We start from the raw sequence: 23,539 nt of genomic DNA, 5'->3' as shown, positions 1-23,539 counted from the left end.
TTCATTTCTTTGTTTAGATCCCAACCGCCATCTGATGCCCCTTCTGCCCAAGAACTTCCTTTCATTTCTTACAGTGCAGATCTGTGGCAATAAATTCCCTCAGCTTTTGTTTGTCTGAAACATTCTTTATTTGGCCTTTAATTTAAAAATATATTTTTGCTGGGTATAGAATTATGCATCGACAGGATTTGAGCTTTTTCTCTTGATACTTTAAAAATGTTATTTCACTGTCTTAATGACTTTCATAGTCTCTGACAAGAAGTCTGCTGTTATTCTTACCCTTGTTCCTCTGTTTGTAATGTTTCATTTTCTTTAAACTATGGCTGCCTGCAAGACTTTCCCCTTTACCTTGGGTATTTCAGCAACTTGATTCCAGTGTTTCTAGAACTTGGAGGGTTCTTAAAAAAAAAAATCCTGCTTGGGGTTCTCTGAGATTCTTGGATCTGTTTGTCTTATTAGTTGTTTCCTGTCTTTCATTAATTTGGGATAATTCTCAGCAACTGTGCCTTCTAGTATTTTTTTCTGGACAGTATCTTCTCTTTTCCTTCTGGGTTTCCAATTACATGTGTGTTAGACTACTGATACTGTTCCATAGTTCTTAGATGCTCGGTTTTGTCATCCCTCCCCTTCCCCACTCCACTTTCCTCTTTCCTTGTTTCTTCTTTTGTTTCACTGTTCCTTTTTATATTCTGCTGATTTAGCTTTCATTATTTTCTCAGCTACATCCAGTTTGCTAATAAACCCAATTTGTTTTTACATTTCCAACAGTTTCCATTTAACTCTTAAAAACTTGTTTCCTTATTTCTGTTGATATAGACTTTTCTCAATACATTTTTCAATACATTAATCACAGTTATTTTTAAGTTCCCATATCTAAGTTATCTCTGAGTCTGTTTCCATTGATTGCTGATTGCTTTATCTCTTGATTTACAACACGTCATTCTTTCTTGCCTTTTTTGTCTCATAATTTTGTGCTGAATGCTGGATATCATTTGCAAAGCAGTAGAGACTAAGTAAACAGTATTTCTTGTCCAGCAATGAATTCACATGTTCTTCTAGCAAGCCATTACTAAGGTTGATTGAGTCAACCTAGTCAGGGTTTGAGGGAGATGGCTGCTATTGTTATCTGATACACCAAGCATCAAAATCCCCTAGCCATGGGCTGCTGTCTTGTGCCTAGTGTGCTAGACTTTTTTCAGTGTTCCTGATCATCCTGTAGTTCCTTGACATTTATGTCACAAAGGTGACACAAATTCCTCTTTACATTCTTGCTCTCCAGAGATGACTGTTATTGCTACGTTACCAGGTGCTAGGCTCCTTGCTCTCCCTGGCCCAGCCTAAATTTTAGGAATGATCCATATACCTGGACCTCAGAGTGGGGCCTTCTCAGGATCTGTGCATCTCTTCTCCAACACAACTAAACTCTGCCTGATATTTGTCCCTGTCTTGGGCATGAAAGAGTTCCTGTCCCTCATGCAGCAGAAAGAGAACTTTGCTTTGCATCAGTGAAAGATTATGAGCCTAAGAGTCTGTCCTGCTTTTGCTATTAATTACCCTTCGTCCCAGAAGCAGAGGATCTTGCTGGTCACAGGGCAGGAAAGAGGGTTTCCTAAACCTCTGCCAGAAATAGATCTTTGCTGAGTCCTATGGGCTAGAGGTTTCATTGCCCTCCTGGGAACTCTGTCATAGGAGAGAAGGCTGTGGGGAAGCAGGTGTTACATCATGCCTGTCTCCCAGTGGCAGCTGAGATTACCTCCCGCAGAGCAGCACGATCAAAAGAGGTTCTGTCTAGTCTCCAGGCTTGCTCATAAGCTTTCTTAAGAGTACCCAGTGGAGGGCTGTAGAAAACAGCTTATGAGTAAGTGTAACCTTCCCCTTGTATCTGGGGTACCTGGTTATCCTAAACTGATGCATTAGCCCATACTCAACCTTAAGAATGCATTACAATTTTTGCTGAATTCTTCTTATGCACTTCTATGATGGTTACCTGTTCCCCCTGTGCTCTGCTAAATGTGAAACAGTTCAAGTGTCCTGTCTACTCTCAGATGGGTTTGTCACCCTTTGGGATTTAAGAAAAGTTATTGCTTTCTAGATAATCTGGCCTTTTTTGTTTCTTAAAATAGAAGCAATGTTCTCTTATATCCTAATTGGAAGAGAAACTCCACCTTCACAGTAAGAACAAGGGTAACATATCAGCTTCTTCTTTTGTTAAGACATTGAGCTGATAACTATTTTCACAAAAAAAGAAAGAAACAGTAAACAGATTTTTTTTTTTTTGAGACGGAGTCTCGCTTTGTCTCCCAAGCTGCAGTGCACTGGTGCGATCTTGGCTCACTGCAACCTCCATCTCCCGGGTTCAAGTGATTCTTCTTCCTCAGTTTCCCGAGTAGCTGGGATTACAAGCACCCACCACCACGTCCAGCTAAGTAAACTGATATTCTCAATGAGTGAACATATGAGTACACTCTTAAGAATTTATGTGTGCAGACCCCAAAGAGAGCAGACTATTCTGGAAAGAAAAGAACACCACCACTACTCTATTAACATGGATAACAGCTTTCATGCATAGAATACACTGTAATGGGGCAAATAAACTGAAGCCCACAACTGTGGTCATTCTCCACCGCAGTAAGGGTTCATGGGATGTAGAGTAACATGTTAACTGCATTAAGTCTTTATTACATATTTTAAAACGATATTACTGGTAGGTAGAGGTAGTTGACTATACAAAATTAACTGAATAGATTTTGTAGTGGATTTCTTTCTCCACTATGCAGCCATTAAAGACTGACCTTTGAGCTTTCAGAACAACCAGTTTGCAGAACCTGACAGTGTTAATGATTCTCTCTTCTATGTGCTGGTAACCTTTGCTCTGATTGCTGCATGCCAGGTAATTAGAGCACAGTGCATGATAGCACTAAAACATGTGGCACAGACTATATTATACACACAAAACTAAATGTGTGTATACTGCAGATGTTGGGCTTTTTAACCATGTTTTACTTGTATGTATGAGTTTTGCCCTCGGAATGAAAGTGACCCAAGCAAAAGTAGCCAGGGCCCATAGAGTAGAGTGACACAATGCTGGCCCAAGCCCTTCCTCTGACCTTTCCCCTCAGTGTGGCCTTCTCATTTTGAAGGACAAGGGCTATGTCTGCCTGCCTCCACTTTACAGCACTCTGCTTGGAGTTAAGTGCCTACTGACAACTCCCAAAAGATACTCACTAACATAACATTCCCACCGCCAAAGGAAGGGCCTCAGCTTCCTAAACTCCTCACTTCGCACACTGCCTTCTAGAGCCACACTGCTTCTTTTTAAAGCTTTATTAAAAGTTGTGATTTAGGGGGAGGGAAGGAAGAAAGACCACATAAAATTCAATCAACCTCATTTCACTGGGACAAATGTTCACACTTTGCTCTTTGAAATGTGGTCTGTATGTTTCCACAGGATGGGAGACAGAGAGGTACAGTGAAGCAGCAAAGGACTAGGAATTGGGGAACTGGGGTTCTAGTCCAAGTTCTGCCACTAACACTACACGACTCTGTGCAAGTTTCTTCATCAGGGTGGGCCTCAGTTTCTTCATCAGGGTGGGCCTCAGTTTCTTCTCCTGCAGAACAGATTTGCTCTCTTGGGTTCCCTCCAGCTCTGGCATACTTTCCTTTTCAGTTAGACATTCAGCTGGCTTTCAGAAACTACCATATCAGATTCACCTACTCTCCAAACATTCAGTGTGTTTTCATGATGCTTTAGCTAGTGGAAATGCAAAAACTGAACAAACGAAAATAAAACAAACCCCATTCCTCAAGATGCTAATGGTTTAGTGGCAGAGACAGGCATATAAATAAAGTTACAACACAGTGTGATAAGCACTACATTAAAGGTATGTCTCATTCCTGGAAATTAAAACGCAACTAGAAATACTCCATTCTCAGTGGGGAATGGGAGATGACACGGCATCACAGACCCCCCAGCATCCTGCTCAGCATCGGGAAGCTATTCAACAGACGTTTGAGGATGGAAGAGTGAAGCTCTCACTCAAGGCTTAGAAGCAGCATTCCACCATTTTAAAACGTCACTTAGCTTTTGCTATACAGCCTCAACAACTAAATAATAAGTCTCCCAGAAAAAGGCAACTTTGTGTCTATGGAATAATGTAATGAAAAACCTTGTCAAGTACCTATTTTTAGAGGACATTCTGGGACACAGTTTGTCTTTCAAGGGCCACAAAATGGCATATAAAGATCCTCCAGGTAGAAGCTAATATGGTTCTAACTGAAAAGGTAGGGATTTGAAGTCTAGGTCAAGATTTCTCTCCACCAGGGTTTTCACCATTAGCTCCTGTCTTGCAGTTTCTCTGTTGTGGGAAGAAATCTCGGAGTAAAAGTGAAGAACAACGTATCATGGGTGGGGATACAGAAGTGGTGTGGGAGCCTGTGAAGATCAAGCCTTTGGTCTCCCTGCCTTTCTCTTCTAGCCATGGACAGGGTAAAGGGAGCTCTGAAAAAAGCTGCTGTTCTACAACTTGCCACGCTCTACATATCTATGCTTCAATTAATCTTTATGCTCTGTGTTATGTTCATTTAATTCAGACTTTTTAAAGTTAAATAAATCACTAAATTCCTATTAGATAAAAAATATTTTTAAAATATACCCATATTTTATTTCTAAGTCCTTTTAGACCATGGTGTTCATTTAACTAGATACTCAGAACATGTGGGATTCAAGAATACATTTAATATTTGAACCTACATCTGTTTTATAGTCCTTTATTGTGCATAAAAATTTATTCTGATGCACATTATTAACCCAGGAACCTCCGAGATGCTTTGACCAGGAACTATTTTTCTTCCCTGTTTTGATCAGCCAGACAAAATCAGCTACTTAATAAAAAAAATTTTAAGATAAATGGAACCTTGGAGATCTAGCATAACTTTATTTTACAATCAAAGATTAAGACAAAGAGACCCAAAATCTCCTACATCCTGGAGTAGACACTAGAATCTCGGTCTCTCACTTCCACTGGTGCTCTGCCCACCACATCCCCATTGTAAACGCTTCCTACAGGTCCCAATTATAAATATGCCAGTAAGCCAAGGCTACTTCATTTCTGTGTCTTACCAGGATAAAAAGGCAGCCAAGGAGGGGAAAGTTGTCTGCTTTGGTATTCAAGTAATCCTTGACTTCTAATATGATGCTTCTATTCATTCTCTTTCCCTCTATCCCAGCAGGTCCCTCCCCATTCTTAACCCTCTAAGCACCTGATCATTTGTCATTAAGAGTCAGCTCTGACCAAAAAGGAAGGAGGTGGTTTACATTTCCAAGGTTCCTTTTATATCAGATTTTATTATCTTATTAAACAGATGGTTTTGTCTGGTCCTTCAACTCCTGACACTGCCTTGTTGCTGATTGCATGCATAAGCTTCAGACCCCCTATCTTACTCTGTTTTGTATTTTTGATATACATGACTTTTTATAACATGACTAACCTTTGGTTAACCACTGAGTTGACCCAGATATTTGTATCCACCCCACTTCCCCAGCCAAGGATGTGATCCATCCGCATCTCTGCAGACCATGATTCAGTACGACATCTGGTAAGTCAAATTCCATTTGATGTCTGCCAGGAAGCTGTGTGCATAAGACTAGAATATATACCCAGCCTCCAAGGAGACTTACAGAAATGCTGCTGTGGGTAAACTAAGGAAAACAGCAGTTTAAGGTGACATTTCAGACAAGGAAGAACAACAATCTCCATTTCCTTGATTTGGGATTAAATGTAATCTACTTTCCATTTAAGGCTGCAGCATATGCTAAGCATATTTCTCCATTAAAATGAGACACTTATAAGCAGGTTGTGTATGGCATGTATGTGCATAACCTTAGCTCATTCATAGGAAATCCTTTCAAAAATTATATAATTTGAAATGGAAGATTATAGAAATAGAATATAATAAACAGAGCACCTAGACTAGGCTTCTCCTTTGTTTCAAACCCACAGAAATGATGAAAAAGATGTACATTTAAAATATGTGCAACAATACTACAGGACTACAAATGATAGATAACCTCCAAAGTTGAAAGGCAACGGGATGAGATTAAAGGAAGAAACCACAAGCCAAAAATATGACAGGAAGGACTGTGGCCACGAGATGTGTGGTTGGAGAACCACAATGAAAAGATCTTGGCAATTTACACCAGAGAAATACAAATGGCAGCCAACCATCAAATTGTCCTTTGAAAGAATTATATCTAATAAAACTAGGAATATGCATACTATGGACCCTAGCATTTCCATCTCTTATTCTGAGAAACATTCTCACTTGTGCACAGAATTCATGTACAAGAATGTTCACAGCAGCACTGTTTGACATAGAGATAAACTGGAAATGACTACCAATAGGGGAAAGGCAGCTGTTAAAAGAAACAAGATAAATATATATATGGAGTGTCCTCCAAAACATAGCAGTGAATGAAAAATACAAAGTTCATAATTACAGTATGCCATTTAGTAAAAAGTACTATGTAGTCCTACATGTATGAAAGAGACGGGGGGGCGGAGGTGGGGGAGACGGTGGGGAGAGAGAGAGAGCGAGAGAGTGTGTGTCAGAGAAGGAAATGTCTCAAATTCATAATAATGAATTTATTATTCTAAGGGAGGAGGAACAGAGCTGAGACTCAAAAGGTACTTTAATTGCAAATGTGTTGCAAGTTTTTAAAAGACGTATATATTCAGGTGTTATCTGCATGATCAATATTTTGATTTCGTACAAACAACTAGAAGATACTGGATATATAAATAACAAACCATTACAGGAAAAAATTGTAATAAAGTCAGCAATGGACAAGAAAGTATTAATTTTTTTAACAAAAAGGAGGCACTAATAGTGACTATGGCCTTCCAAATAATCACAGTAAGTGTTAATGGGTGAACTCACTATTAATGGCTAAGACTTCATATTCGTCTGTTTTCACACTGCTAAAAAGATACTCCCAAGACTGGGTAATTTAGAAGGGAAAGAGGTTTAATTGAATCACAGTTTCACGTGGCTGGGGAGGCCTCAGGAAACTTACCAACATGGCGGAGGGCAAAGGGGAAGCAAGGCACCTTCTTCACAAGGCAGCCGGAGGGAGAATGAATGCAGGAGGAACTACCAAACACTTAAAAAATCATCAGATCTCATGAGAATTCACTATCACAAGAACATCATGGGGGAGACTGCCCCCATGATTCAATTACCTCCACCTGGTCTCTCCCTTGACACGTAGGGATTATGGGGACTACAACTCAACATGAGATTTTGGGTGGGAACACAGCCAAACCACTTATAGAATGTGCCATGCACTGTCAAGAATTTTACATATATTAGCTCATTTAATTCTTATAAAATGAGATAGAAACTATTAATATTTCCATTGTATAGGGAAGAAACAGGCACTAATATTTAAGTAAACTTGACAGACACCACACAGCCAGTTTATGCAGTGCCTGAATTCAACCCCAGGCAGCCTGGACTCAGTCCATGTCCTTACCACTCACCAAACAGCCTCCACTGAACAAAGCAGCAACACACTGAGTTGTTTGGGTTTTGTAAGATAAATATTCAAGAATACATCTAAAATGAAATAACTAGGAGTGATAAAAATAAAGAGATTAAAAATATACACCAGGCAAATGCTAACAACAAAAGGGAGTCAGGCTCTAAGACACAAGAGAAACTCAAGGTGAACGCAACAAAAACAGATGGAGGGGAAGACACTTATCATATTCAATTGGTAAAAAAAAAACACTAAAAATGACAATTATGAACTTTTATTATCCTTTTGTAGAAGACCCAACATACTTTTCTCAGAAACCAACAAAGACCAAGATTTGAATAATACAATTAACAAGTGTTAATTGATAGTTTTTAAAAATGTTATACATAGATGTGAGAATGCATATTTAAAAAAGAAAACACGGAAAAGTTGTAAGAAAAAAAGCTATGAATTAGGTCACACAAAAAAGTTAACTGCAATCACACAGAAAATTACAATCACACAGTAAGCACAATACAATTCAATCAGAAATGAACATGTAAAAATCAAGGGATGTTGGTGAATTGTCGCCAGCATTTTCATCATTGAATCTGAATCTGGCCCTGTTCTGGCTTCTGACCTTGTAGTACTTCAGGTGAGGCCTTTGACTACACCCCAGGGACAACGAGTCAATACTGATGACAATTGGAATGGCAGATCTCCAACCTCCAGAAATAAAGAGCTGACCATCCCAGCCATGCAAACATATTCACTAATTAGGGGTCTTCTGTCCTGCACAGCTATTGACTCATGTACAGCCCCCCAAAAAGAGAATACAAACTAAGTGCCCTGCCAGAAAATGGAAGAAAAGGAAGATGACAAAGAGTAACTACTTTTATGGGAGTTGGGGAAAGTGCAAAAAATAAAACCAAAAAATAATCCCATATTGGCTCCCAAAAATTTCATTCTGGGGTAAAAAGGAAAAAAAATGCTATTAAAATGAATAAAACTACAAATCATATATCTGATAAAGATCTGATACAGAATATATAAAGAATTCTTGAAAATCTATAATAAAGTACCCAATTTCTTAAAATGGGCACAAGATTTGAACAGACACTTCACTAAAGAAGTTATGCAGATGGCAAGCAAGCACATGAAAAATGCTCAACAGCATTAGTCATTAAGGAGAGGCAAATTAAAACCGCAGGAGATATGACTGCACACTGATGAGAATGGCTAAACTTAAAAAGACTGTTCATACAGAGTGCTTATGAGAACATGGATGAACTGGAACTATCATCCACTGCTCAAGAGAAACAAAATAATCTTTGGAAAATGGTTTGCAAGTTTCTTAAAAAGTTAAACATACACTTATCACACGATCCAGCCATTCTACTCCTAGATATTTACCCAAAATAAATAAAAGCATGTGCCCACATAAAGACTTGTATATGAATGTTCATGCAGCTTTATTTGTAACAGCCAAAAACTAGAAACAATCCAAGTGTCCATTAGCAGGTGAATGGACAAACAAACTGCATTACATCCATACAGTGAGGTACTATTCAATGATAACATGGAATGAACTACTGATACATGCAACAACAAGAGATGAATCTCTATGCTGAATGAAAGCCAGACGAAAATACTACATACTGTATTATTCCATTTACATAACATTCTAGGAAATATAAACTTATCTATAGGGACAGAAAGCAGAGCAGCCGTTATGTGAGGGTAGGAGGGAAACAAAAGGGAAAAATGACCAAGGGCCATGAGGAAACAACGGTCACCAGTTCAACTACATTGATGGTATCATGGGTGTATACATATTTCAAATAACTTATCAAATTATACATTTTAAATAAGCATAGTTTACTGTATGTCAATTATTCCACAATAAAGCAGTTTAAAAATGAATCTGTGGGCTGGGCACAGTGGCTCACACTTGTAATCCCAGCACTTCGGGAGGCAGAGGCAGGGGGATCACAAGGTCAGGAGATCGAGACCATCCTGGCCAACATGGTGAAACCCTGTCTCTATTAAAAATACAAAAATTAGCTGGACATGGTGGCACATGCCTGTAACCCCAGCTACTCGGGAGGCTGAGGCAGGAGAATCGCTTGAACCAGGGAGTCAGAGGTTGCAGTGAGCCGAGATTATACCACTGCCTGCCAGCCTGGTGACAGAGCGAGACTCCGTCTCAAAAAAAAATCAAAACAAAAACAAAAACCAAAAAAAACAAATCTGTGGCAACAGATAATCTGAGTATGACAAAGTAGGAGATCACTGAACATTTATTTAATATGTACATTCTAACATGAAGGTCAAGTAAAAATAAGTCGACTGTTAGCCACACACAGGACTAAATATCATGATAAAAGAAATGAGACAGGAAAGACACATTTAGCAACCAGATAGACATAGCTCCAAAACGGTACTTAAAAAAAGGCCACCTCTGATGGGCATAATACAAACACCAACGGAAATGCCTAAGAAAAAGCACTCCTCCTAGAGAATTCCCTCATCCAACAGAATCTGCCTCACCAAGCTAATCAGAGTGTGCCACCTACAACAACAGTCTGAACACAGACAGCGCTTCTACAAAAAGCCTGGAAATGCAGCACAGCAGCAAAACAAGCAGATGGCGTGGCAAGCAGAAGCCCCGAGTTCTTCAAGAGCTGAGACCTCCATAAGCCTCAAGTCCTTATTCTAAATATGAAAGCAGTAATATCTGCCTGGTTATCTCAAAAGGCTGTGGTGAGATGACACACCTGAAAGCCCCCCAAAAACTATAAAGTGGAACACAAATACTAGACAGTATCCGTGTTAAAAAATAAATGCTTGCCTGACAAAAAAATTTAACTATCTCCCCTTTTCATATAAATTGGATAGGAAGTGAAAGAAACCATTTATCAGAACTACAATCAGCCTGTAACCCATCATGACATACAGGAAAAGCCCAAAAGCTATTTAACTTTTATTTTCTAATATAAGCATTTAACACTATAAATTTCCCCTTAAAGTAGTGCTTTAGGTGCATCGCATATATTTTGATACGTTACGCTTTCCTTTTCATTCAATTCAAAGTATTTTGCCTTGTAAGCTCCTCTTTAACCATGGATTTTCAGGCTGTGATCATTAATTTCAAAATATTTTGGAATTTCTTGGGTATGTGATACTGATTTCTAGCTTAATTAAACTTGGTCAGAGAACACAGATACATTCCTGAAAAATTACCTGTAAAGTGAAAGTATGGAAATCAAGTTCAATTTTCCTATGGTAAATTAATATGTAATGATATGCCCAAGGTCAAGGCAAGCTAGGATTAGAGATCAATCTTCCAGCTTCTAATTCTGGTATAATAGCCTTTCTTCTACCTTATGTTCTCTTTCAATATCATCTTAAAACCAAAAGACGTGTTATTCTCTCCCTATCCTTCCAAAAGAAAAAAGAAAGAAAGAAAAGGAAAATTCCATATACATCCTCTCATTTGATTTTTACAGTTTCATAAATCAGGCAAGACAGATGATAGTATTCTGCATATGAGGAAAGTGAAGCTCAAAGAAATAACTTGCCCTACTAGTCTGCTATGTCTCATTGCTCCTCAATTACCCCTTAAAATTAGAGTAAGACAGGTCACTGAAATCCATAAATAATTCAAAAACCTCATTTTAGCCACTATCACGATCACCACCACCTCAGTTCAGAGTAAATTATTGTAAAACTGACTAGGTTTGCTTTTGGTTTTTTGAGGTTTTCTTGAGATGGAGTCTCACTCTGTCGCCAGGCTGGAGTGCAGTGGCACGATCTCGGCTCACTGCAAGCTCCGCCTTCTGGGTTCACACCATTCTCGGGCCTCAGCCTCCCAAGCAGCTGGAATTACAGGCACATGCCACCACACCCGACTAATTGTTGTGTGTTTTTAGTAGAGATGGGCTTTCACTGTGTTAGCCAGGATGGTCGCGATCTCCTGACCTCATGATCCACCCACCTCGGCCTCCCAAAATGCTGGGATTACAGGCATGAGCCACCGTGTCCGGCCAACTGATTAGGTTTAAGTTTTTAAATCTTGACTTCTCATACCCATTCATTACTAGAAAGATTCAGATAACAAAGAATTGGTTAAATTCCAGGAAATAAAAAGTAAATGGGCAAAAACAGAGGTAAGAAGACTGAGATCTCAGCTTAATAAGTCATAAACTACATAATCATGTTTTTCACACAAAAAAATTAACATGGAAGTGAATATATCAAGTTTTTTTTTCTCTTTCAATGTCCCAAACTATTAATTAGGATCTAAAGCTCTAAAATATTACCTGCTGTTAATATTTATATATTAAAGTATATTAATATTAAATATTTAATATTCAAAAATATTAGAATATTTTATGCTATTTCTATTTCTAATTAAATTTCTAAACTATGTTACAGAAATTAAATGGCTTTAAGGGTAAAAGGCACACACTCTTACCATGTAATCGTTGACTATGGGTTGCAGAAATTCCCCTCAAGTAGCATCACCACTTTGGCTCAGTTATCAGTAGTAGTTAACAGCAATCAAAACTAAAACTACAAAGAAAAGAAAAAAAATTAATTACCAGTAGGCAAAATGCATTCAAGTCTTCAAGAAAGTCTTAAATTCAAATTTCACATTTCAACAATTTCAAGGGAGCTCTAATCCCTGAACTAGTTCTTTTTTAATTATTTTAAGTAAGGAGCTAATAAGGTGTGTGAAATCCTGTATAATTCCAACCCCCTATCCTGAAAAACCTCTGAAATTAACTTCAAGGACTCACAGTAAATAATAGCTGAAGGGCAGAAAAAGAAAAAGTCAAGTCTAAGTGTATTCAACTGAACTGCTCAATTCATTTACTCAACAACACATATATTTTAGGTTTTGTTACTGCCTACAGACTGAATCAAATAATAGTAATCATTCACATAAGAACTGTAGCTAATAAGAGCATTTGTATCGATTTTTCCCATAACAATATTCAAATTCAATAAAAGTCTTGGAGATCATTTTATAAATATTCTAATAGTAGCTACAGGGATAAAATAGTAACAGATTTAATAACTGCCAAATACGCCCTAGAAGGTGTTTCCAGGACACTGGACATTAACAGCAATGCTACAGAGCAAACTGATCAATGTTGTATACCAATGTGCTAGAGCTATGAGGTAACAAGAAGCATGACATGGTTTCCTACTCAGAATTATGGTCTACTTGGGAAGAATACATACAAGAAAATTTTAGTGAACATGCATCCATTCACTCAGCAAGACTGTACCAAGCATCTTGTAGAAGTCAGCCCCTCTTTAAACACTGAACACATAAAAATGAATAAGAAAATGCCTGTTTGTGAAGGTACTCAGTCTTGTGAGGGTAACAAATAAATGCAGATAATTTTAATACAAGGTAGACGCAAGAAAGCGAGAGAACAGCGGCCCAGAAGTGGGGCGGGGTGCAGCTTCAGGAAGGTCAAACAAGGGTGGGAGGCATCAAGCTTGGGAAAGGAGGTCCAGGCATGAGAAAACAGATAACTGTGCCATTTCATTATGGAAGAAAAGCAACTTTGAGTCTACTAAAAAGAATTATCTGGACCCCCATGAATTCTATGTAGGCCAGTAGATTCTAAGAACTCACATAGTTAAGACCGCAACCATCCTTTTAACAGTACAAAAAAAAAAAATAGAATGATCATTCAGCGATACTCCATTTTATACATCCTATTTTACTTATTTAAAACTAAAGCAGCACACAATTTTCTTCTCTTCCTTCAGAGCAGCTGTACTGCATGCTCTTGATGCTGAGTAAAAGAGAAAAGTGAGCTTTTTCCTAAGTAATCTGCATAAGTGATCACCTTATTTCCAAATACAGAAAATTATCCCTGGGTTTAGATTACCCAGGCCTAATTTTACCTCTACTAGATCAGCTGATTCGACTTGATGATTTTGAGGGTAACCAGCCCTATACATTTCACTTAAGAGATGGTTATATCCAGCTAACTATGCCTAAGGACAAGGAAAATGTCCAACATCCTATGTATTTTCTGGATGACCATTTATGTTTAAGAATCACGTGTTAACTCTTCCTTTGTGAAACACAATTATGAATTTTCCCATTTGTGTGAAAGGCTATGGACTTATTATTTTTGTTATTAGCTATTACTGGTAAATGTTTTACTCAGGTCTAAGCATAGAGCTAACATGTCATATACATTTAACTTAGTCCTCACAGGCAGGTAATATCTCCATTTAAAAATGAAGAAATTAGGATCAAAAAGTGAGTTTTTTAGGATCACACAGCTAGGAAAAAGAAGAGTCAGGATGAGTCTGACTAGAAAGCAACTGTTCTTGCCAGGCACGGTGTGGCTCACACCTGTAATCTCAGCACTCTGGGAGGCTAAAGCAGGCAGATCACGAGCCCAGGAGTTTGAGACCAGCTTGGGCAACACGGCAAAACCCCACCTCTACCAAAAAAAAAAAAAAAAAAAAGGAGTAAGTAAGTAATATCTACATTGGATTGTCTCCTTTTGGGCACGGACACATGCCTTTTTCTTTGCTGCTGAGCTGCTAACATTTCTAACATAAGTCAAGAACCATAAAAGTCTTGAAGAATTAACTAGACTTTGTGAATACGTAGCCTCATTTGACAATGGAGAGCATATCAGTAACTCCTTTGAAGTCACAGGTTAAGGCTGCTAAGTGGAAACACAGCACCTCTACTACGAGCTGCAATACTGGCCAGAACAGGGAAGCATGCTTCTATGCAACACCATCACTCCAATTCTATTTCCATACATGGCTACACTCTGAATGGTGCTGACAGTGCTCTCCTGTGGCTACTGTCCAGAAGCAGAATTGCCCTGTAACTTCCTACCTCTGGCCTTGCATCTGTTACACTCCCTGTGTCACAAATGCCCTCCTGTCGTCTAGTTTCCAGGTATCCAAAGGTCTCTTGCCTTCAAACTGCAACCTGCTATGGCCTCCATCCATCCATGCCTCTACCTGCTCAATAAACACATATATATGTAGTTATGTGTCAGTCACTGTGCCTGCCCCTCCCCCTGGTAAAACCAAAGCCCAACCCTGGACTCCCAAGAACCTCTCAGTCCACAAGAAGAAAAGTCTGTAAACAACCATGTAGCATTCCGTGGGGCCAGTGCTCTGACAGGTGTATATGGCGGATGCACAGAGCACAAGGGAGAAGGTGGCTACAGCTGGAGGGGCAACGGCAGGGACAGCTTCACAAGGCTGGTCACTGAATTTAAGCCATAATTCAGAAGACAGGTGATGAAGACCTAAACTAAGACAAGGGAGGATTCTTTAAAGGGAACAAATCTGACAGACGTAGGTCTCGGAAGATTAAGTGGATGGGGATGGGGATGCTGACTCCCCTGGAGTCAAGGAGTGCTCTGAGGTAGTGCTGTCCAAATGAATGTCCCGCAGTGATGGAAATGTTCTACACAGTGACAGTGTCCCAGAGGGCAGCCTCCAGCCACATGGATCCAGCTTGAAATGTGCTAATGTGAGTGAGGAACTCCATATTTTACTTCATTTTAACTAATGTTCATTTAAATAGTAACATGTGGCTAGTGGCTACTAGGTTGGACAGTACTCTTCTAAGATTTTTGGCTTGAGATAGTTGTACTGAAGGTGTTATTACCAACATCTGGGAAAAGAAATACTGCAAAGAAAAGCATATAGACACTCAAATATTTGAATAAATGAACAAATCACTGACTAGAGGAACAGACTGGGTAATCTTTAAGGACCTCTCCCCGCTAAAATCCCATCACAGATGTACTTATCCTTGTTCACTCAGGTTCCAAATAATGACCTCAATATGGTAGCAACAAAATATAATCCTGCTGTCTCTAAGCCTAAGTATTAAACTACTACTACTAAATAAAAATTATTTATACCATTCAGGGAAAAAAGAAAAGAAAAATGACATCATGAAACCACTGGAAGTCACAATTTAGAGAATAATCACAGACCACAAGTCAAGCCAGGAAAAATAACTGCCTAGTTAAAAAAAAAAAAAAAAAGTCTTTTTCTAAAAAGAAGAGGGGAAGAGGAGGAGGGGACCATGCAGCGTTATGACAGCCAATATGAGTGCAGGTAATTTCAAATACTTTCAGACCATTCACCTTGTCAGCAGCTCACTTCACATTCAGGTTACATTTCTCTGTAGTCTGATGAGAGAAATGACAGAGTTTATCTCATGATACCTCATTCTGTACTATAGGGCATTTTACAAGGTCAATGATAATAAAATTTTCCCTAGTAATACGCCCTTTAATCTTACTTATCCACGACATCCAAAATCAATATGAAATAAAGAATTCTGCTACATGAAAACACTTAACCTGAGAACAGGTTGTATCTAAATGACTCATTGTTAATCTATCAATATTATCCTAATCTGATTGTATTTGGATTTACTATTTTGGTCCCTGACATCTCTTGTAAGCCTCCAAATTCTAGTTTTCCAGAAATGAGAAGCTAGCTCGAGATATAGCTCTATTTCCCCACTTATTTTTCCAGCCTTACCTCCTAAACCAGGCTGAAATTCTATGTTCTTCTTTTCACTTCTATCGATGAGATCACATCATCAATGTTTTTAACTATTCACGTATAATGTTCTATTTATGAGATTGCAAGACACTATAGAAATGTAACCACTCCTAGATTCAGAGAAATATATCTCGTAAGAATGTCGAATATGAATTTTTTAGCAAAAAGCATATGTCTAGCATAACAAGACAGCAATCTTTGTGTTTCTCCTCTTTCTTGGTCTCTCAGGTTGACTACCTGAGCTTCGATACCCCATTGCTACAACGGTTCCGCACCTTTTAAAGTCAGAGCCAGTATGAACACATTTTAGCTGGCCCCACCATACAATTCAACACATAATTGACCTCTTATAGAAAGTGAGGCAAAAACAATGTCAAATAGTAAGGTCTTTGCCCCCCAGAAAGTTTATCTGGTGGGGAAGAGTAAACAAACATAAATAAATACAAAACAAGTAGCAGAAGAGATACTGCTGTAAGCTAAAACAAAAATAACGTTAGCTGACATTCACTGAACACCTATGTGTATCACATTCTCAGCTAGGTGCATTTTAATTTCAATAAAACTGTATTAATTATACTAAGAGAGAGCAAATAAAGAGAAATTCTCTGAGTTTTGAGTACTTTATTCACTCAAAAATTACTTACCACAGATCTAAATACAAGAATCGTAAGATAATATTTTCTTTCTCTTCCATTTAATGAATAACTGCCTAGTAAAATACAAAGAAAAAGGAACCCATGCCTGATATGGCATTGTAAAGATCCATGAGTGGCCCATACCTCTGGGCTAACAGTCCCTCGCCAGAGAATCTGATAACCCAGGCAACGATCTGGACCACATCAACCACTCTTCAATTCATTCAAGCATTTACTACTGTTCAACACAGTTTAAGGGGGACGGGGGGGTGGGGAGGGGTACATTATTTCGGACTGAGCTCCTGTACTAGGCCCCAGTAGACCACACCAAACCAGAATGGAATCACTTGTGGTAACTACCACTTAAACTGAACTCAGCTGGGTACGGTGGCTCATGCCTGTAATCCCAGCATTTTGAGAGGCCTAGGTAGGATTATCTCTTAAGCCTAGGAGTTTGAGACCAGCCTGGGCAACACATGGAGACCTCATCTCTACAAATAATTTAAAAATTAGCTAGGCATGGGGGCCCACTCCTGTGGTTCCACCTACTCAGAAGGCTGAAGCAGGAGGATCACCTGAGCCCGGGAGGCTGACACTGCAGTGAGTGAGCTGAGATCACTCCACAGCACTCCAGTCTGGGCGACAGAGCAAGACCCTGTTTCAAAAAAAAAACAAAACAAAAAACTGCTCTGAAACAAGCCAGTTTTCTATTAAAAACAAAAAACAAAAATAAGAGATTCATGGCCACCAATCAGAAGAGGCCCAGTTTACCTGAGCTGGGATAATAAGAAAAGTTTCCTCTGTTTTAACCCTGTAAGGAAAGTAATTCTGAAATGACCAATCTGCTGTTCATTCTTTATTTCTGCTTTCTTCAGCCTTTTTTTTGCCTATAAAGCCAAGCTCCTCTCCTCAGTTCACTGGAACACCCATCCTGTTTTACAGAATGAGGTACGATTCAATGCTAGAATCACAAATAAAAGCCAATTAGATCTTTATTTTTAATTAGATTTTTAATTTGCCTTTTGACACTAGCCCACTATTAGGCATTAGAAATATAACTATGAATCACACAAACGTAAAGCATTATATCAAAAAATACCACACCACAAGCTAGAAAGTGTTAAGTGGAGAGACACAGGAACCCTCCCTACCATCTGAGAGGTATACAGTCCAAGACACTCAGCAGATGCCTAAAACTGCGGATAGTACTAAACCCTATATACTAAATTTTCTCCTATACAGACATACCTATGATAACTTATTTTATAAATTAGGCACATTTAACTTATAAATTAGGCACAGTAAGACTAACAATAACTCATAATAAAATAGAACAATTACACCAACATACTGTAATAAAAGTCACATGAATGTGGTCTCTCTCTCATGTGCATGCACAAAATTATCTTAATATTTTCAGACCACAGGTGACTGCCAGTAACTGAAACTGCGGTAAGTGAAACCTCGGATATGGGGGGACTACTGAGCATGGAAAGTGCTACGACAGAAGACTGGTTCCAGCTGCAGTAAACAAGAGAGGAACAGTGACACCAAGAGACTGATTTCTGTCCTTTGAGATGCAAAGAGTATACAAAGTCAACATGAAGATAAACTCTTATCACCAACTAAATATTGTGCTACGAGAGGTAGTCAAAGGGCCAGGGCAGTGGCTCACACCTGTAATCCCAGCCTTTTGGGAGGCTGAGGCAAGAGGATTGCTTGAGCCCAGGAGTTTGAGACCAGCCCGGGCAACAGGGCAAAATCCGTATCTTAAAAAAAAAAAAAAAAATTAGCTGGGCATGGTGACGCACACCTGTAGTTCCAGCTACTCAGGAGGCTGAGGTGGGAGGATCGCTTCAGCTTGGGAGGTCAAGCCTGCAGTGAGCTACAATCACACCATTGCATTCCAGCCTAGGTAACAGAGTGAGATCCTGTCCCCGCCACAGACACACACACACACACACACACACACACACACACACACACACACGAAAAAAAAGAGAAAAGAAAAAAGAGAAAGTCAAACAGCTCCAGATGGAGAACTTGCTCCTGAAATAAAGTGTGTGTGTATCCACCTGTCTGTCTCCTGTGAGGCTACAGAAAACTCTGAGCAGTTTATTTAAACCTAAGTTTCCCTAACTACAAAAATTAGACTGTGAGAATTAAATGAGCTAACCCATGGGAAGAGCCGTCTACCTCATTTAGCAAGCAATAAAGAGCACCAAGTACTGTTACTGCACCACCAGGTGCCGCCCCACCAGCCTGAACAACCCACCAGAGCTGGGGCATGTTCACTGCATCTCAGTACCAATCCCAGGGTTTCACACAGAAAGGAATTCATGGCACCCTCTCAATCAATGTGGATTCAGAACAAAACAAATAGTAAACAAATGAGCAAACAAAAACCTAAAACCAAGATGATTTAAGTTCAAATTGAGTTCTACTCTTGCATTTGCCTAGTTATTCATTACCACAACAAAAAGTGAACTACTAGAAATAAAAAAATTTAGAGGTTGAAAATGGTTAGAAATCCGTAGTAAATATAATTGGTTTCCAAAGGAAAACTCGATTATCTAATCGATGTTTCTGCCTTCGGGTAACAGTTAAGCTTCGTTTTTTAATGTTCACAGTAGACAGGTCTGGCCCCGGGCAGCCACCTGTGGATCCTAATACTTTGATCCCTAATTCCATTCTTCACTGTGACAAATCTTTTTCTTTTTAATTCCAGCACTTGGCACAATACTTGGCACATAGACAACACTCAAAAACATTTGTGAAAGTTATTTTTTTTCCCCAAATGCAGAGGTTTAAAAAAAAATGCATCTTCCTAATCTACTTCAACTAGAAAAGCTGAACTTGCCCCGTATTTAGTGACCCTGAGTTGCCTCTGTGATCACCACTTTTAAGTGCCACACAAGCATGAGCATGAGAATTTGAATCAACAGTTGTTTCAACTCCACCAAACAGTTAATGAGCTTCTTTGTAACGGGCATAAAAAGATAAAATAATAATAACTTTCTCATGATAAAACAAGGCTTCCAGCTTGAGCAAAGACTGCTGACTAGAACCAAGTAAAGAAGCTATTCAGCAACATTCTGAATAATCTACCATCATTAAATACAAATGTGGACTGGTACCAAGGGCATCATTAAGCAGTTTTCTTTAGCAATACTCAAAGGCAGACTGAGAACTGGAGGAAAACCAGGGGCCAGCAGGGCAGCTGGACAGAGGGGCAGAGGTCCTGAGGGTGGAAGCACTGACCAGAAGGAAGGGCCTGAGGACAGGAAAGACAGGGAGAGACCAAAGGACCCTGGCGCCTCTGTCCAGGATTGTGCAGAGAACACAGATACAAGATCACCAGTTATGAAATACCAGGATTCCAGAAGTTTTAAAACTCCCCTGTTCTAAAAAAGTGGGACACTGTGTCCTTGGCTGATCTTTTGGCACTTTCTGTTGCTCTTGACCCCACAAAGATTACAAAAACAGTGGCTTCCAGGGAGGCCCTTGAGATGACAGTTTAAACCTTGAAACAAATCCAACCCAAGTAAAAAGATTTTCTTGCCCAAACTACTTTGTATTTTTCTCTGCTTTAATTACTGAACCCTATAACTAGAATTCATCCCTGATTCAAAGAGATGCTAAAAATAGCCTATTTCAGAATGTAGAATGAGAAGCATCGTGTAATTTTGCTACTAAATGGACTCCTTCTTTTTTTTATAGTTCAGTAACTTACTCTTCAAATACATTTATTTTTATCAACCAAAAAAATGCAAAGCACTTCGGATGCACATTAAACAGTAATTTTCAATACTAATTATGTATTTATAAGTTTATAAGTGAAATCTCAGGCATACACCAACCTTACTTAAAAACAGCCGCCTGACTCTTTCCCCCTAATCATGACCTTCATTAAACAGCTTTGATTGCAAAGAGTACCACCTCATTTACATATGATGAATGAATTAAAGCTCTTATCCAACAGGCTCCCCATTGCAACTGGCAATTTATTAATAACAACTTACATCTGAATCCACAGTGCCATTTACAAAGGGCTTTCACATAAATCATCTCATTTAATCCCCTACAACCTTGACACCTGCAAGGTAGGAATTAGTTTAACTATCTTGCAAATTAGGAAACAGTCTAATGGAAGACTCATCCAAAAAAAATCACACAGTAAATACAGGTGGAAGACACACTCACCTACATCTATCTCACCTAAGTCCCAAGGTTTATTCCAAACTCCACTCCTTCTATGACTGACTCTATCTTCTTCACTATGGCTGCAGGACCACACCAACCTAGCTAGATCACCCCACCCTCCTAACTCCAACAGAACTCACTAGGAGTATCACCAGTGTGAAACCCAACACATGCTACTTTCCACTGGGATTTACCTTCAGAGGCCTGTGTTTTGTCTTCTCAACTCTATACATTAAACTACTGTTTATCATGCCACCTATGAATCACCTGGTAGACAAATGTCTTTCTTTCCTTAATTTCAGCAACCAAACCAGGGCATTACCCTTAGCTTTGGCCCCACCATCCTGTCTCCAACCAGAAAATCCTTGAAGTTGTTCACAGGCCATCATAAATAAGTATAAAAGAGGTTTCCCTTTTTTAAAGTTTTTTACAAATATTTTTAGTAGAGAGACACAGAGTCTCACTGTGCTGCCCAGGCTGGTCTCAAACTCTGGCCTCAAGTGATCCTCCTGCCTCAGCCTCCCAAATGCCAAGATTATAGGTGTGAACCACCACACACAGCCCAAAAGAGGTTTTCTTAACTGTGCTTAAAGTTGCTTTATATCCTTTACTGGTTTGAGTCTCTGCCTTTCTCCCATGCCTATATCCCATCCCTGGTCTCTGACTTCCTATTGCCTCCTGAGCACCTGCTCAACCAAACAACTAGTTATTTGTGTTTTTATTTCCTTGATTTGACCTACCTTGATTCCTGAATATTCACCTGGTTCCTGTTCAGGTGCTGGAACACCTTTAACTTCCAGCCTCACCTTGCTCTCTGAAACCAGATTTTCTAATCTGTCCTCACATTAACTACAGTCCAACCCCTACAAAAGGTACCACCCAGGCCCCGACACAAGAAGCTGCTGAGCTTTCTACAACTGGCCAGAAGAAGAATAGTGCTGTCTTTTTTACCTTCAGCTTATACCTGCAGCTCCACACTTCCACAGCTATTTCAGGAGAAAGACAAATTTAACAGAGGTACCAACAGCAGTTACTCTTACCTCCCCATGGGCCCTTATCGCCTTCCTCTTCAAGCTCAGACTTAAAAATCAGGTGACAAATATCCTGGGCTAAAATACTACACAGTCAGCAATCTGTTGGATACCAACGGGTTAGATCATAACCAGATCAGGATTTCCACTTAGTTTCATTAAATGTGTTGAGTCTTACATTTGGACAAAGAAAATAATGAAAATCATGACATAAGTGCACGAAATATACAGAAAATCTGTACATTATCAAATAGAAATAGCAAGATGTAAATACTGCATTGCAGAGGTATTTTTTTCATTATTACCATGACAATTTTTAAATACTCCAAAATCAAACTATATTTCAAAATTACCTCTATAATACTAAACCTGACATAAAGATTTCATGTGCAATTCAACAAATAACTTCAGTTTTTCTTTTTCTCTCTCTGAGGATAAAGTATAATAGTGGCCACTATAACAAAGAGATTCATAAACCTGTACCCACAGGGGATCCTATGTGTTCAAACAAAACTGACAAACACAGCAGTACCATTTTTACAACATGTCTACATTCAAAGCTCCTGAGCCTCTAGTCAAAACCTAACTCACTATATCTAAAGTAATCAGGGAACTAAATGGCCCACCATCATGCCACAAGAATACTACAATTTATGAGAGAAGATACAAACGAACAAAAACAAGGAAAAAATGACCTCCTAGAAATAAATGTAAAAGTTCAGTCACCTAAGTAACTCATTATTGCCAAAAACATTTCTAGCATCAAATTCTATCTCCAATTAATTAAGTAGCAGTAATCATTTAATCAGTGGCATCCAATATAATCCTGTAGGAAACATTTTCTGAAGCCCAGAGGCTGCATGGTAAAGGGGAAAGATCAGAGGTATGGGGGTCAGAGATCTGAGTTCCACCCCGGAACTACCATCGAAAAGCTCTGGACCTTGGAAGAGTTAGTACTGTTTGAGTCTCAAGCTCCCCTTTTATAAAAATAAAGCTAACCATACCTCCCCTTAAAATGTGAAGGGGAGGATGAAGTCTTATGGACAAAGAACACAGCAAGGTAGCAGAGGCATTTAATAACCGGCAGTTATTATCCCTGGACAACTAAAAGCAAAACATGCTCCCTGTCGGCAGACAAGCACAATCACCACAATCTGGCAAATTTACTCAGCCCACTCTTGGCAAAAAGGAAGTGATGATATCTTTGCATTTGTGTATGCAGATGACAGGCCACATCCTCATTCTTTGAGGTTAGGTGGCAGCACTGATCTGTCTCCAAATGACAAAACTCATGCTTGAGGCCAGTGGCCAATATATCACATATCCCTGAACCAGCACCTCTTTGTTTTCTACAAATAAAGATAATTATGGCCAATTTACTCACTGAAAGGGTACAGGAATGTAGATATTCCAAACAGTTGATATTCTGATATTTGAAATCCTCATGTTTATTTAACTAAAGCTTCATTTGCTCTTGTAGAGTTTTCTGTTAATAACTTGAATTCTGCATAAAATGCCAGCTGAATCTGTCAACCCTGAAGGCAGGAGGGTACCAAGATCCAGAT

The 23,539-nt window shown here is 39.1% G+C and overlaps 1 protein-coding gene across 9 annotated transcripts in view; it reads right to left on the bottom strand.

The window, feature by feature from the left end:
* WASF3 (WASP family member 3) overlaps nt 1-23,539 on the bottom strand; it is a 149,810-nt gene that overhangs the window by 63,897 nt on the left and 62,374 nt on the right. For 7 of the 9 annotated variants that reach the window (XM_024449315.2, XM_047430060.1, XM_047430064.1 and 4 more), the window contains exon 2: nt 11,994-12,091. The gene's annotated coding sequence lies outside the window, so the exon portion shown is untranslated. Of the gene's footprint in view, nt 1-11,993; nt 12,092-14,405; nt 14,564-23,539 lie in introns of those variants that run through there. The other 2 variants (XM_011534889.3, XM_047430062.1) reach the window with 2 other exon arrangements.

Source organism: Homo sapiens, chromosome 13 (assembly GCF_000001405.40).
Source record: "Homo sapiens chromosome 13, GRCh38.p14 Primary Assembly".
In the NCBI taxonomy this organism is placed as follows: Eukaryota; Metazoa; Chordata; class Mammalia; order Primates; family Hominidae; genus Homo; species Homo sapiens.
This window is presented reverse-complemented; position numbering and strand designations above follow the sequence as displayed.